Source organism: Homo sapiens, chromosome 7, assembly GCF_000001405.40.
Source record: "Homo sapiens chromosome 7, GRCh38.p14 Primary Assembly".
In the NCBI taxonomy this organism is placed as follows: Eukaryota; Metazoa; Chordata; class Mammalia; order Primates; family Hominidae; genus Homo; species Homo sapiens.
In genome coordinates, this window is record NC_000007.14 from 46,340,224 (window position 1) to 46,353,230 (window position 13,007).

The window sequence follows — 13,007 nt, forward strand, 5'->3', positions numbered from 1 at the left end:
TCTGAATACAACACACTGATGGATCTTGACTCTTTATCCAATTTGCCAGCCTGTGTCTTTTAATTGTGGCATTTAGCCCATTTACATTTAAGGTTAATACTGTTATGTGTGAATTTGATCCTGTCATTATCATGTTAGCTGGTTATTTTGCCTGTTAATTGATGCAGTTTCATCATAGCATCGATGGTCTTTACCATTTGGCATGTTTTTGCAGTGGCTGGTGCTCGTTACTTCTTTCCATGTTTAGTGCTTCCTTCAGGAGCTCTTGTAAGGCAGGCCTGGTGGTGACAAAATCTCTTAGCATTTGCTTGTCTGTAAAGGATTTTATTTCTTCTTCACTTATGAAGCTTAGTTTGGCTGGATATGAAATTCTGGGTTGAAAATTCTTTTCTTTAAGAATGTTGAATATTGGCCCCTACTCTCTTCTGGCTTGCAGGGTTTCTGCGGAGAGATCCGCTGTTAGTCTGATGGGCTTCCCTTACCTGACCTTTCTCTCTGGCTGCCCTTAACACTTTTTCCTTCATTTCAACCTTGGTGAACCTGACAATTATGTGTCCTGGGGTTGCTCTTCTCGAGGAATATCTTTGTGGTGTTTTCTGTATTTCCTGAATTTGAATGTTGACCTGCCTTGCTAGGTTGGGGAAGTTCTCCTGGATAATATCCTGAAAAGTGTTTTCCAACTTGGTTCCATTCTCCCCATCGCTTTCAGGTACACCAATCAAATGTAGATTTGGTCTTTTCACACAGTCCCATATTTCTTGGTGGCTTTGTTCATTTCTTTTTACTCTTTTTTCTCTAAATTTCTCTTCTCACTTTATTTCATTTTTTGATCTTCAATCACTGATATCCTTTCTTCCACTTGATCAAATCGGCTATTGAAGCTTGTGCATGTGTCACGAAGTTCTCATGCCATGGTTTTCAGCTCCATCAGGTCATTTAAGGTCTTCTCTAGACTGTTTATTATAGTTAGCCATTCGTCTAACCTTTTTTCAAGGTTTTTAGCTTCCTTGCGATGGGTTAGAACATGCTCCTTTAGCTCAGAGAAGTTTGTTATTACTGACCTTCTGAAGCCTACTTCTGTTAACTCGTCAAAGTCATTCTCCATCCAGCTTTGTTCTGTTGTTGGCGAGGAGCTGCGATCCTTTGGAGGAGAAGAGGTGCTCTGGTGTTTAGAAATTTTCTGCTTTTCTGCTCTTGTTTCTCCTCATCTTTGTGGTTTTATCTATCTTTGGTCTTTGATGTTGGTGACCTACAGATGGGGTTTTGGTGTGGATGTCCTTTTTGTTGATGTTGATGTTATTCCTTTCTGTTAGTTTTCCTTCTAACAGTCAGGTCCCTCAGCTGCAGGTCTGTTGGAGTTTGCTGGAGGTCCACTCCAGACCCTGTTTGCCTGGGTATCACCAGCAGAAGCTGAAGAACAGCAAATATTGCAGAACAGCAAATATTGCTGCCTGATCCTTCCTCTGGAAGCTTCGTCCCAGAGGGGCACCCACCTGTATGAGGTGTCTGTCGGCCCCTACTGGGAGGTGTCTCCCAGTTAGGCTACACAGGGGTCAGGGACCCACTTGAGAAGGCAGTCTGTCTGTTCTCAGAGCTCAAACGCCATGCTGGGAGAACCACTGCTCTCTTCAAAGCTCAGTGGGAAATGCAGAAATCACCCGTCTTCCACATCGATCATGCTGGGAGCTGCAGACCGGAGTTGTTCCTATTCGACCGTCTTGGGAAATACTCCAGGTTCTCTTTTTTCAACATCTTTGCCAACACTTTTAACCTTTCATCTTTTTGATAATAGCCGTCTTACGTAGGTGTGAGGTGATATCTCACTGTGGCTTTGATTTGAACTTCCCTAATAATTAGTGATGTTGAGCACCTTTTCATATACCTACTGGCCATTTGCAGGCCGTTGCCCGTTTTTTCATCAGATCCCTTTTTTTTTTTTTTTTACTATTTAGTTGTGTAGGTTCCTTATATATTTTGGACATTAATGTGTTTCGAATATATGCTTTGTAAATAAGTTATTTCATTATGTAGGTTGCCTTTTTATTCACTCAACAACATGAATGAACATTCAATGCAAAGTGAAAGAATCCAGCCCCGCAAAGCTATATTGTATCACTCCATGCACATGACATTCTAAGAAAGGATAGAGAGGCACAGGTTGTCAGAATCTGGGGGACAGAGAAAGGTTTATGAAAAGGAGGCTGCCCAAGGCAAATTTTAGGGTAATGCATATGTTCTACACCATACTGTGATGGTGAATACAGGATTTTATGCATTTGTCAAAACCCATTGAACTGTACACCACTTTGTAAACTTTACTTCCTCCAAATTGCAAAGCTCACTGAAAGGGGTGGGGGATAAAGGATGATCTAAGTAACTTTGTAAAGCAATCTACTGACTGGGCACTGTTAGTCCAAAGATGAAACAAACTGTATAATCTGTACTCTTTTGTTGGCTTTTTTTGTCAAAGGAGTATGGTTAGCAGTTGTGAGGCAGCTTAACATGTATATTAGGGTTGAAAGAGTAAGTAACTAAACAGTAGATTATAGGACTCAGTTTTATTATTGTCAGAGAATGAATTGGCAAATAAGCAACAGAGAAGAGCTTAAGTGAACACCATGGTGTTGGATTAGTCAGAAATATCAGTAAAAACTCATGTTTATTTTAATATCTGCATTTTAATATATAAATATTGCTTAATATACTTATAAGTATTCTCTATATAATAATATTGTAATATTATATACTTATTTGTTATTTATAATGCTTACATTTTGTATTGCTTATTGAATATTGTATTACACTGGAGATACTTCAATTTATGTAAACCTTCCTCATTCTTCTTCAGCAGCTGCTTAGTTTCACATCATGTTTGTATAATATGATACTTCATCAACCAATTAATGGGTTAATTACTGATATACACAATCTTATGGGTATCTTCAGGATAGAGTATAAAATATAGAGTCAAAACTTCAGTGTTTGCATATTTTAAACTTGGACAATCATTACCACATTCTCCTCTGAGAAAATCAGAGAGCTTTTCCCTTTCACTAATGGCTAGTGCTCACACTATTTCTCCCACTCTTGCAAAAACTGGATATTATGTCCACATCTATGTACCATTTTTGTTGTGATTGACAAAATTGAACTTCAACTAATCTGACTGATATGAAAAGGGATGCTGTTTTACTTTCTTATTTTTTAGTTTTCCTGAATGTGTCCAATTTGCACCATCTCTCCCACAGAGGACAAATAAAAAAATCTCGCATTACTTAAGAATTATTTCGTGGCGTGTGTCTCTCCAGACTTTTGTTATGGTGTCACTACTTGCAAGCTGTGAGTCTGTTTTGAGAACTCTCTCCATCTCTCCAAATAAAAACATATCAGAACAGTGATGGTGGTAATGTCATTTTATCTAAATATGAAGCTGGTACTTTTTGTGTTTTGCAAATAGTGCTGTTCCGTAAACTTTCCATCAAAGGAGATTTTAGAGAGAACGTATGGATCAACTTCTCCACAGTTCCTATGAACAACCCTTGATGGCGGTGTTACTTGCTTTAGTACCTCTGAATATAGATTTTTTGGCTGGATCAAAATTCGTTCTTCAGTCATAAACCTGAGAATTATATTTTTAAATATTTTTAAAATAAATCACCACAGAGTGTGCCCTATATTCTCTTAAGTCTTCCAATGTATTCTCTAATGTTTAGTCTCAGCTGGAGAACTGACCTTGTATTTTGGTTACTCAGAACATTAGTTTCCAATTTAGTTTAACTGAAAGTGCTATTGAAATGTTGAGTCAGTTCTTTACAGAAAAATCTTGTATATCTGTCTTTCCTCCTATTGCAGAACATGCATAACTAGTGGATATGTTAATGGAAATCCATCTGTTTTAGAGCTGATCTTAAGAGTTTAGGTTATTTTGTGTGTTATAAACTGTGAATATGAGTATACCAGCAGCATACAATGTAGCTGTAGTGGTATTTCAATGAATTTCACTTCCTTTTGAGTCTAGGCTGTTTGAAGTCTATATAAACTTATTTTCAAATATAACCTTTACCTAAAAAAGTAATAATAAAAATCGATTTTTGCATGTTAAAATTATTACTTTGATGACAAAAGACATATTCTTTCATGGTTTCAGCAATGAGAGGAAATGTAATGCTTATTTCAATATTTCACCTAAATATGTCTAGCTGTTAAACAACAACAACAAAACCTCCCTCATGAGAGGGGTTTCCTTTGAGAATCTCTGGTCTGGTTGACCTCTTGGATTCTGTATAAATCTAAGAGTCTATGAAAAGGTGTGTATGGAGCTATTTTCAAAGAATATTTTTCTTTGATTAATCATTTACTGATATATATCTTCAGTAGGAAAAAAAAGTGCACTCAGTGTTTTCCACGTTTCCCTAAGTCCTCTGCAGGTCTCAACAAAGCCACTAGGTAATGGCTGTGTTGACTGATAAATATCGCATCAGGACAAGCCAAGCCTCCCCACCCTGTGAACCAAGGCTGATGATGGGGATGAATTACTCAGAAACACACCACGGGGTTTAACAGTTCTTGGAATACTTTTCCCCTAGAAACACCGAGAGCAGGTGAAATAGTAGGGTGTGAAGTGTAGGTGGTGACTTAGCATTAAGTCATTCTCTTGTCAAGGTCCCCTCTGACTTTGAAGAGCACCTCTATGTTGCCCCTGCCTCTGGGTGTGCAGCCCTCTTCTCTAATGCTTCTCCACCTGGGACTGTTTCAGTGGGCTTGACAGAAATGAGGAGCAGGCTTTTTTCTGTTTGTTTTAGAGCACTGTTTATGGAAAAGGTTTGAAGTGAAAGAGACTGTTCTGTAGATGAATAGATTACAAGGTCCTTTACCTAGGGACTTGATGGGCTAGAGAAGAAAAATGCTTAAGCAACGAGTTGTCATATAGAGTAAACAATTAATACTCATACACACACTGTCATAAGAAAGAGGTTGAATAGTTAATGATGCCTGGAGAATATGAGGGCAGGAAGATCAGGAATATTTCTAAAATAGAATTGTCATTGGATTTGATTATTTTGGAATACGAATATTTTATTAGTACATGGGGAATAAAGGGGCACGCAGGCATCAATGAAAAATCAAAATTTAAAAAAAACTGAAAAGACTACTGGGAAAGTTGAGCTCTCAGTGTAGCTCTGGAATGAGGTTCCTGGAGGTGGGGCATTTTAGGCAGCTTCTAAGATGACTTGCAAAGATTCCTGCCTTCTGGTATTTTTGCCAGTGTGTAATTCTCTCCCCTGGAGTGTGCTGGCCTTGTGAGTTGCTTCCAGCCAACATAATATGGTAAAGCCATAGGATGTCACCTTGTCATTAGTTTATAAAACATGATGCTTCCATGTTGCTAACAAATTCTATTGCCTTCTCAGTTCCTTGCTTTGATGAAGCAAGCTGCCATGTTGGAGACAAATGACTGAGGACAATGTCCGGCCAACAAGCAGAAAGGAAATGAATCTACCACCAACTATGTGGACATGGAAGTGGATTCTTTTCCTGTTGAGCCTTCTGATGACTCCAGCTCAGCCGATGCCTTGATGCAGCTAGGTGAGAGACCTCCAGCTAGGTGACCAGCCATCCAGTTGGCCCTGGACTGAGGGAAGTGGCTGGGATGCAGGGCTTTCTATTGTCTAACTGATGCAGTTTCTAGAAACCCATCCCAGCATGCCTGGAAATGAATTTTTTGGGATGAAGTCTTTTTGGTGCTAAGACAGGGAAAATCCTGGGCAAATTCTGATGAGTTGTTCATCTTACGCAAGAGACCCAGGTAACCTGTGCCTGGATTCCTGATCCACCGAAATCATGAGCTAATACATATAGGCTGTTTTAGGCTGCTAATTCCTGTGGCAATTTGTTGCCGGCAATAGATAGGGAGATGGGAAGGGATTGGGCTGAATATAATAAACATATTAGAAATGCAACGGGTTTTGTTTTGTGTGACAGACCAGGGAGTTTAGATTATTCATGGGCAATAAAGTACGACCATGAGTTCTTTTTTTAAAGATTATTTTTGATTAACAAATCGTAACTACTTACACTTATGAAATGTAATGTGATGTTTTGATAGAAGTATACAATGTGGAAGGTTTAAATCAAGCTAATTAGCATAACCATCAGCTTGCTTGGATACCAAGAGTTCTGAGCATGAAGGTGCCAGGCTTGGTCACTGCTTTGCACAGTCTTCTCATCTAATACTAATTAAAATAGAAATTTAACAATAACCCATACTCTGAGTACTTAATATGTGCCAGTCTATGGACTCTGTCCTTACACACCTTATTAGATCTTCCTCAAATGTTCATTAAATTTTGTCTATATTTCAGAAATTGGAAAAATAAGGCTTGGAAATATTAAGGAATATGTCTGAGGTCATTCATTCAGTCAGTGGGGGGCATGATTTGAATGTTCCTCTGTGAACCATGATGAAGGAGATAGGAGAGTCAACTTTTAGGACTGATGCAATTTTCAGGTCTTGAGAAATGAACCAAATTTCCATGTGGCATGGTTACTCTAATTGTAGAGATTTCAAATGAAGATGACGTTTACCTTTTCTCCATTATTAGCTGATGTTCCAAAATATTTATGTCTTCACTTGAGGGAAGATAAAGAAGTCAGGGGATTAGTTGCCAAACTAGATGTAAAGCCACGTGCTTGCGCATCCTGCACAGAGGGTAACCAAGCATTTCCTTCTGGTAGTCCTGTGTGGTGGCACAGAGACAGGTGAGGGTTTCCTTCAGGAACACACACACCATTGTGCATCAAAGGAAGAGCAGATGTGGGTGAGAATGATAACAGTAGTATTAAAGGAGTTCAATTGTAGTTAATTCAAGAAAAAAGAAGTACACAAAACTGTAAATGAGAGAGAGAAGTAGAAATGGTTCGGGGGGAAGTTAAATAATTGTATAGATTACTGTGTGCAAATACATGTGAAAACCTCTATGTGACTTTAGGGAACTATAAACATTCAAATAACCCAAGAAGAGAGAAATAAAATGTAAATGACTCCACATCTTATAAATCTTAATGATTAATGATGGAGAAAAACTAAAAACACTCAGATAGTCTTCTATATAAGAATAAGAGCAGTTTCATGGGTGAATCTTATAAAAGAATAAACTTTATGTGAAGATATACTTATTTAAATTCCTCAGTAAAGTGATGATGTATTTTACCTCTTATATTAGTAATATTTAAGAAGTTTTATAATATTTAGTACTAATTTTTATCAAAATGTAGAAACTATTCCGAGTCAGCAACTCTACTTCTTTTAATTTTTCCTACAAATTTCATGCAAAAGTATGCACACTTAGGAAGTTTTGTCTGTAATAACAAAATACAATTAATGACCAGGTGATAATTGGTAATAGTGGAAGATAAATGATCTGTGAAATCTGTGAAAATCCATGGGGATATAAGAAACAATAAAATGTGTTGACATGAGCTGACATGGAAATAAATTGAGGGAATGTGACTAAATGTTTTTAAAGCAGACTATAGAATGAGTATCTGCAGTATGATTTTTTAAAAGTAGATAAAAAGGTAGAGAAAGCTAGATCAAGAGAGAGAAAGACACAGAGGTCAAGAGAGAAGAGTACAGAATTAAGAATAGAGAAGAAGATGGAAATTGGCATAGGGATAAAAGTAGGATATGGAAAGAGATAGAGACAGGGAAGATAGAGACAGAAGTAGAGCGTGAAATAGCTGGAGCTACCCATTGTGTATGTGCAAGGGAAACCTCTAGAGGCATGTACAGGAGCCTGCTCCTAATTTTTCTCTAGGGAACAAAACTGTGGATTTAATATCAGCTGCAGACCGACAATTAGTTGTCTTTAAATTATAAAATATTTCAGATATATGCACATATAAGACATAATAAACATAATTGCTTCTCTAATTGCTAGTAAAATAAAACGTTACAAAACCATTGTCTTTCATAGCCTTCCAAGGTTGAGTCCCCTCTCTTCTTTCTAGAGGTCACCATGACCTTGAATTACGTCTTGTAACATCTTACATAAGACATTATGGTGTTGAGGGGTTTGAGGGAGTCCAGCTGTGGCTGCAGGTCCCAGGGTTTCCAGTCCACCTTACCAGTGGTAAAGTTGAGGTATATGCACACACATACACACATGCATATATATGAAACTGTAAAAATATGTTACCATCTTTGTATATTTTTACATTTGTAGAATAGTAACATTATATATATACTTTTATGACTTTTGTTTTTTCTACTCTTATTATCACTACTCCCAGGCCAACATATTCTTTGATTGTATGGTTCTTCCTCTACTTTTTATATTTTTTTCTTATATTTAAATATCTTTTCATATGGATACCTGCATTTCTAAGGCAGTCATTTTCACTGCTTACACCGGGATGAAGACCTAGCAACCTGCTTGAGCCTTCTCTGGTGGCAGCATCATGAGAACCTGTCTGGCCGCCACCGTGACTTGTAAAGTTGCCGTGACTCTCCCTGCGCACATCTCCTTATGCTCATGTTTCTTCCTAGAGTAGGTACACTCTCTTCCTAGAGGAGAGAAATGGAATTGTTGGATTGCATCACAGATACATTTTTTAATATACTCAATATTTCCAAATTTCTCTTCAGTTTGCAGAAATACACACATAGTGTTGAAATGCTCCTTGCTCTATATTTGTACCAACATTTTCTTTTGTAGAAGTTTTTTACTTCAGCTTATATTTATGAAATAGTATCAATATGAGATCTTAATTCCAATTTCTTTTTTCTTTTTTTTTGACGGAGTCTCGCTCTGTTGCCCAGGCTGGAGTGCAGCGGCGGGCTCTGGGCTCACTGCAAGCTTCGCCTCCCAGGTTCACGCCATTCTCCTGCCTCAGCCTCCCGAGTAGCTGGGACTGCAGGCACCCGCCACCACACCTGGCTAATTTTTTTGTTTTTGTATTTTTAGTAGAGATAGGGTTTCACCCTGTTAGCCAGGATGGTGTCGATCTCCTGATCTCATGATCCGCCCACCTCGGCCTCCCAAAGTGCTGGGATTACTGGCGTGAGCCACCCCGCCGGGCCCCAGTTTCTTAATTATTACCAATGTCTGTCATGTGGAAGAAATTATTATTCCATTTTCCTCTGTGTCTAGACATGTGGAAGGCTGCACTTTGTACCCCCATTTTAATCTTTTTTTGGGTGAAGGGATGAAAAAGTCACATAATTATCTTTGGCTCTCTTCTTTGAAAAGTTTACATGTGGTTTGGCACCTCCTTTGAAAGGCAGCAGCTTTCTCATGTTAACACCTTTTTACCCCGTGTAACCTCTTATTACACTGGTTCTTAACATTTCTATATCAAAAGCTGCTTTTACATAAACTGCACGAATCATGTGCTTTGTCTCTTTAATCTTTAAAGCAATTAACTACAGAATTAGATTATCTAAACTGGAATCAGCATTGCATTCCTGGGAGGAGAAGCTAACTTGGATCTTATCTTTTTAACATACTATTGGCTGAAGTGTTCTAAAATTCTATTAGGATACTTTCATTTATGCCCATAAATAATTTTGATCTGTAGTTTTTCTTTTCTACATACCTAAATTGGTGATTCATATCATATTTATCCTATAGTCTTAAGATTACTTTGGGAGTACTCCTTATTTTTATTCTCCGGGAAGTCATGCATAAGATTAAAATTTTATGTTCCTCAAATGCTTGATACAACTCACTTAATAAATGCCACTTTTGTTGTTTTCTGTGAATATCTTCAATGTTGTTTCAATTAATATAATTGTTATCTGTCCATTGAGGTTTTCTGCTACCTCCAACATGTTTTGTAGAGTGATATTTCTATTTATTTAACAATTTGTTAGCAGCTGCTACTGGCCTATTGAGATCATGGAGACCTTTTTCTCTCTGCTCCTTCCTGCTAAACCCAACTATAGAAATAATGCAGCAGACAGCCATGGGAGAAGCCTGGAGAGCAGTAAGAGGAAGGAGAACTCATGACTTATCCAGGACCCCAGAACTGGAGGAACAGCAGAGCAGCAGGGCATCTCAGCTCCTCAACCCAACATAAAAAGGCCACCTAGACTCAGCATTTCCCCACCCCCAAACCAGCAACATTTGACAGTTCAAGTAGGAACATATTTCCCTGGGCTGACCTGAGATCTCTGGCACCTCCAGCAAGGGGGATCAAAATGGACTCTTGACAATAGCAAGCAGCCAGGGCACCCACTCTCCTCTACTGGCTCCAAGACTGTCTTTTGCCAGCAGGAGACACTGACACTCTCGGGGAAAACCAGCAAGAGGTACCTTGACAGAAGAGGGACCTGGCCCAGGAAGTCTCTTCCCCATCCCTGCAGGCCAGAGACTCCCCTGTTCTGTGCAAAACACAAGATCAACAGCCAGAGGGGCTTGACACAAGCAGTGTGACCAGTGATGGCTTTGTCTTAAAGAGACAGAGACACTCCCCTTTTCAGCACAGAGACTGGGGGGCTGCCGAGGACAGTTGCAAAAAGGACTCCACCCAAAACTGGAAACAGCCCATATGTCCCTCGACAAATGAATGGCTAAACAAACTGGTGCATTCAGACATAATAGAATAGCTGTCCGGGATCACTCTCTCTGTGTGCTTACAGAGCAGCACAGAAAACTTACAAGTGTTTCTTCTCATCACTTCCTCCTCCCATGCTGTTCTTGTCCAGCATTTTTTTTAACCTTCTGATGTTGTTACCCACAAAATTAGTCATTGCCAATAGTGCTGATTTTATTTATGAGCAATATATCAATAAGTTACTGAAATATTGACATATTTTTGATTTAAAATTCTGGAATATAGACAAAGATACGAAATATTGTTTAAATAATGAAGATGAATGAAAAATACAATGAGAAAGTTTATTATTTTATTAGATTCTGGAGAAGATAATAAAAGCAATTGGTAGAGATGATATTTAAAGATATATACATGAAGATTTTCCTGAATAGATGAAGCTTTCAAATTCAGGAACGTGTCTCTTTCATCAGGCTGTTTGAAAAATGTTTCTTCATAGTTTTGCAGCTGCCTAATAATGTGCTTACTGTAAAATGAAGGAGAAAGATGTACCATGCAAATGGTTCTGCTTGCTATTGCTGCATTATTTAGGGATTTAAAGATTTTGTTGTTGTTATTTGTTGTTGCTGTTGTTCTGCCGAGATGCCTTAAATCTCAGGTAGCATGGGAAATTAAACTCTGCCGCTTCGCTAGGTAATATAGGATTTGTCTTGAAATGAACATGGAATCAAAAAGCAAAGTGCTTTTTTCTTCTTCTCTTAGAACTGTTTCCAATGATGAAAATTTTGACCCATAACATTCACCTGTTCATTTTATTATCCCACAGATACATGTATTTTTGTGCTGCTATATTAAAAAAACACTGCAGCCATGATGAATTCTCCCCTGCCCCCACATTATTCTCTCTCTGTCTCTTACACACACACACACACACACACACACACACACACACACACACACACGATAACTTTGGTTGTCTGCATTAGTTTCTCCTTATGTCAAACACCATTTATCCATTTTTTCTTTCTGGAAGGCTTGACTACACTGATCATGAATTATATACTTCCTGCAACTAGTATTGTCTATGGCAAACTGATCACCAGTAATAATCACTTGGTATTCTGTATATACCACAGCACAGGGATAAAACACAGCCAAAGAATTTATTAGAAACACAAGCAAATCTGGCATTAGCTTCCTTCTAATTGATGATAATTAGACAAACTATTTTAACATAATTATTCAGGTACAGGTACAAGGCATGTTGAAACAAGTTACTTGCATTCTAAGTTTCCATATGTGGAAAGCTTTACTGGAGAGCTATATATATATATGTATGTATATATGGAGATAGAGTAAGAGAAAGAGAGAGAGAAAGAGAAAGGGGAGGGAGAGGAAATGTTTCTTGTGCAATAGTATCATAAATTGAATACTAATTTTAGATCATTTTGCATTTGCTCAATGAGCAACAACTGAGCATGCCTGGTTTGCAAATTCAAGAGTATCTCAGCAGAGATCATTTTTCATTCTTTGTCTCTAAACTGATTTAATGCTACCTAATAAGCACCTGTACTTCCCTTTAGTCAATCTTTTTGTTCATTTCTTTAATGTGGTGATGTCAAACCTGTACAAACATAAGTTACACAGTTCATTTCCCTACTAGACTTGCTCTTCTACCTTCTGTGTAAAGTCATCATTTTCAAGAATGCTAAGCATGTAAAGTTGGGGACCACCTGTACTTTTGGAGGGTCACTTTGGTAGAACAACACTGGCACCTAGTGGCACGTGTTATGAAGGGAAATACCTCCCAAAGACAGGCCATGCAGGAGTGCAAATCCCCATGGATTTACCAATTGGTCCTCAAGACTTGGGTTTGCTGGTCCATAATAACATGCATTTTAATTGCACAAGTCACAGAGCTCCGGTTCTCAAAAATAGTGTGAAGAAAAAAAAACACTGTGCTACCTTTTGAGACTACAACTACTAGTTTATAATATTTTGCAGTGTAATTGATTATAGGAAATAAACTAATGACTTAATCAATGGACAACATCATATTGCCCAATGTTTTTGAGTAGATATTATAAGAAAAGAATAAAAAATCCACAATCTTTTCAAGTCCTAGAGGAATTTAGGGCCTAATCAAGGTGACTAGATGTTTATTTTTCAATTCATACATCCCAAAATATGTATGGATCCATTCCATGAGTTCTGTTTGAGGTACTGTGGGTAAAGAAATAGGGCAAGCTCCCAGTCTTCCAGGGGAGGTCAATCAACCAGTCAGTTATCTTATCTGCCCCATAGATGTAAAGGAATAAATATGGGTGAGAATTATAGAAACAAATCTTTTTTTTTTTTTTTTTTTTTTAATGGAGTCTCGCTCTGTTGCCTAGGCTGGTGTGCAATGGCGCAATCTTGGCTCACTGCAACCTCCGCCTCCCAGGTTCAGG

At 38.2% G+C, this 13,007-nt stretch overlaps 1 annotated feature.

Annotated features, from left to right (window-relative positions):
• Nucleotides 12,168-12,462: a silencer, noted in NCBI's record as "tiled region #15376; HepG2 Repressive non-DNase unmatched - State 12:CtcfO". NCBI's record gives its function as "represses a minimal TATA promoter and a strong SV40 promoter by Sharpr-MPRA in HepG2 cells {active_cell/tissue: HepG2}" and the evidence as "EXISTENCE:reporter gene assay evidence [ECO:0000049][PMID:27701403]".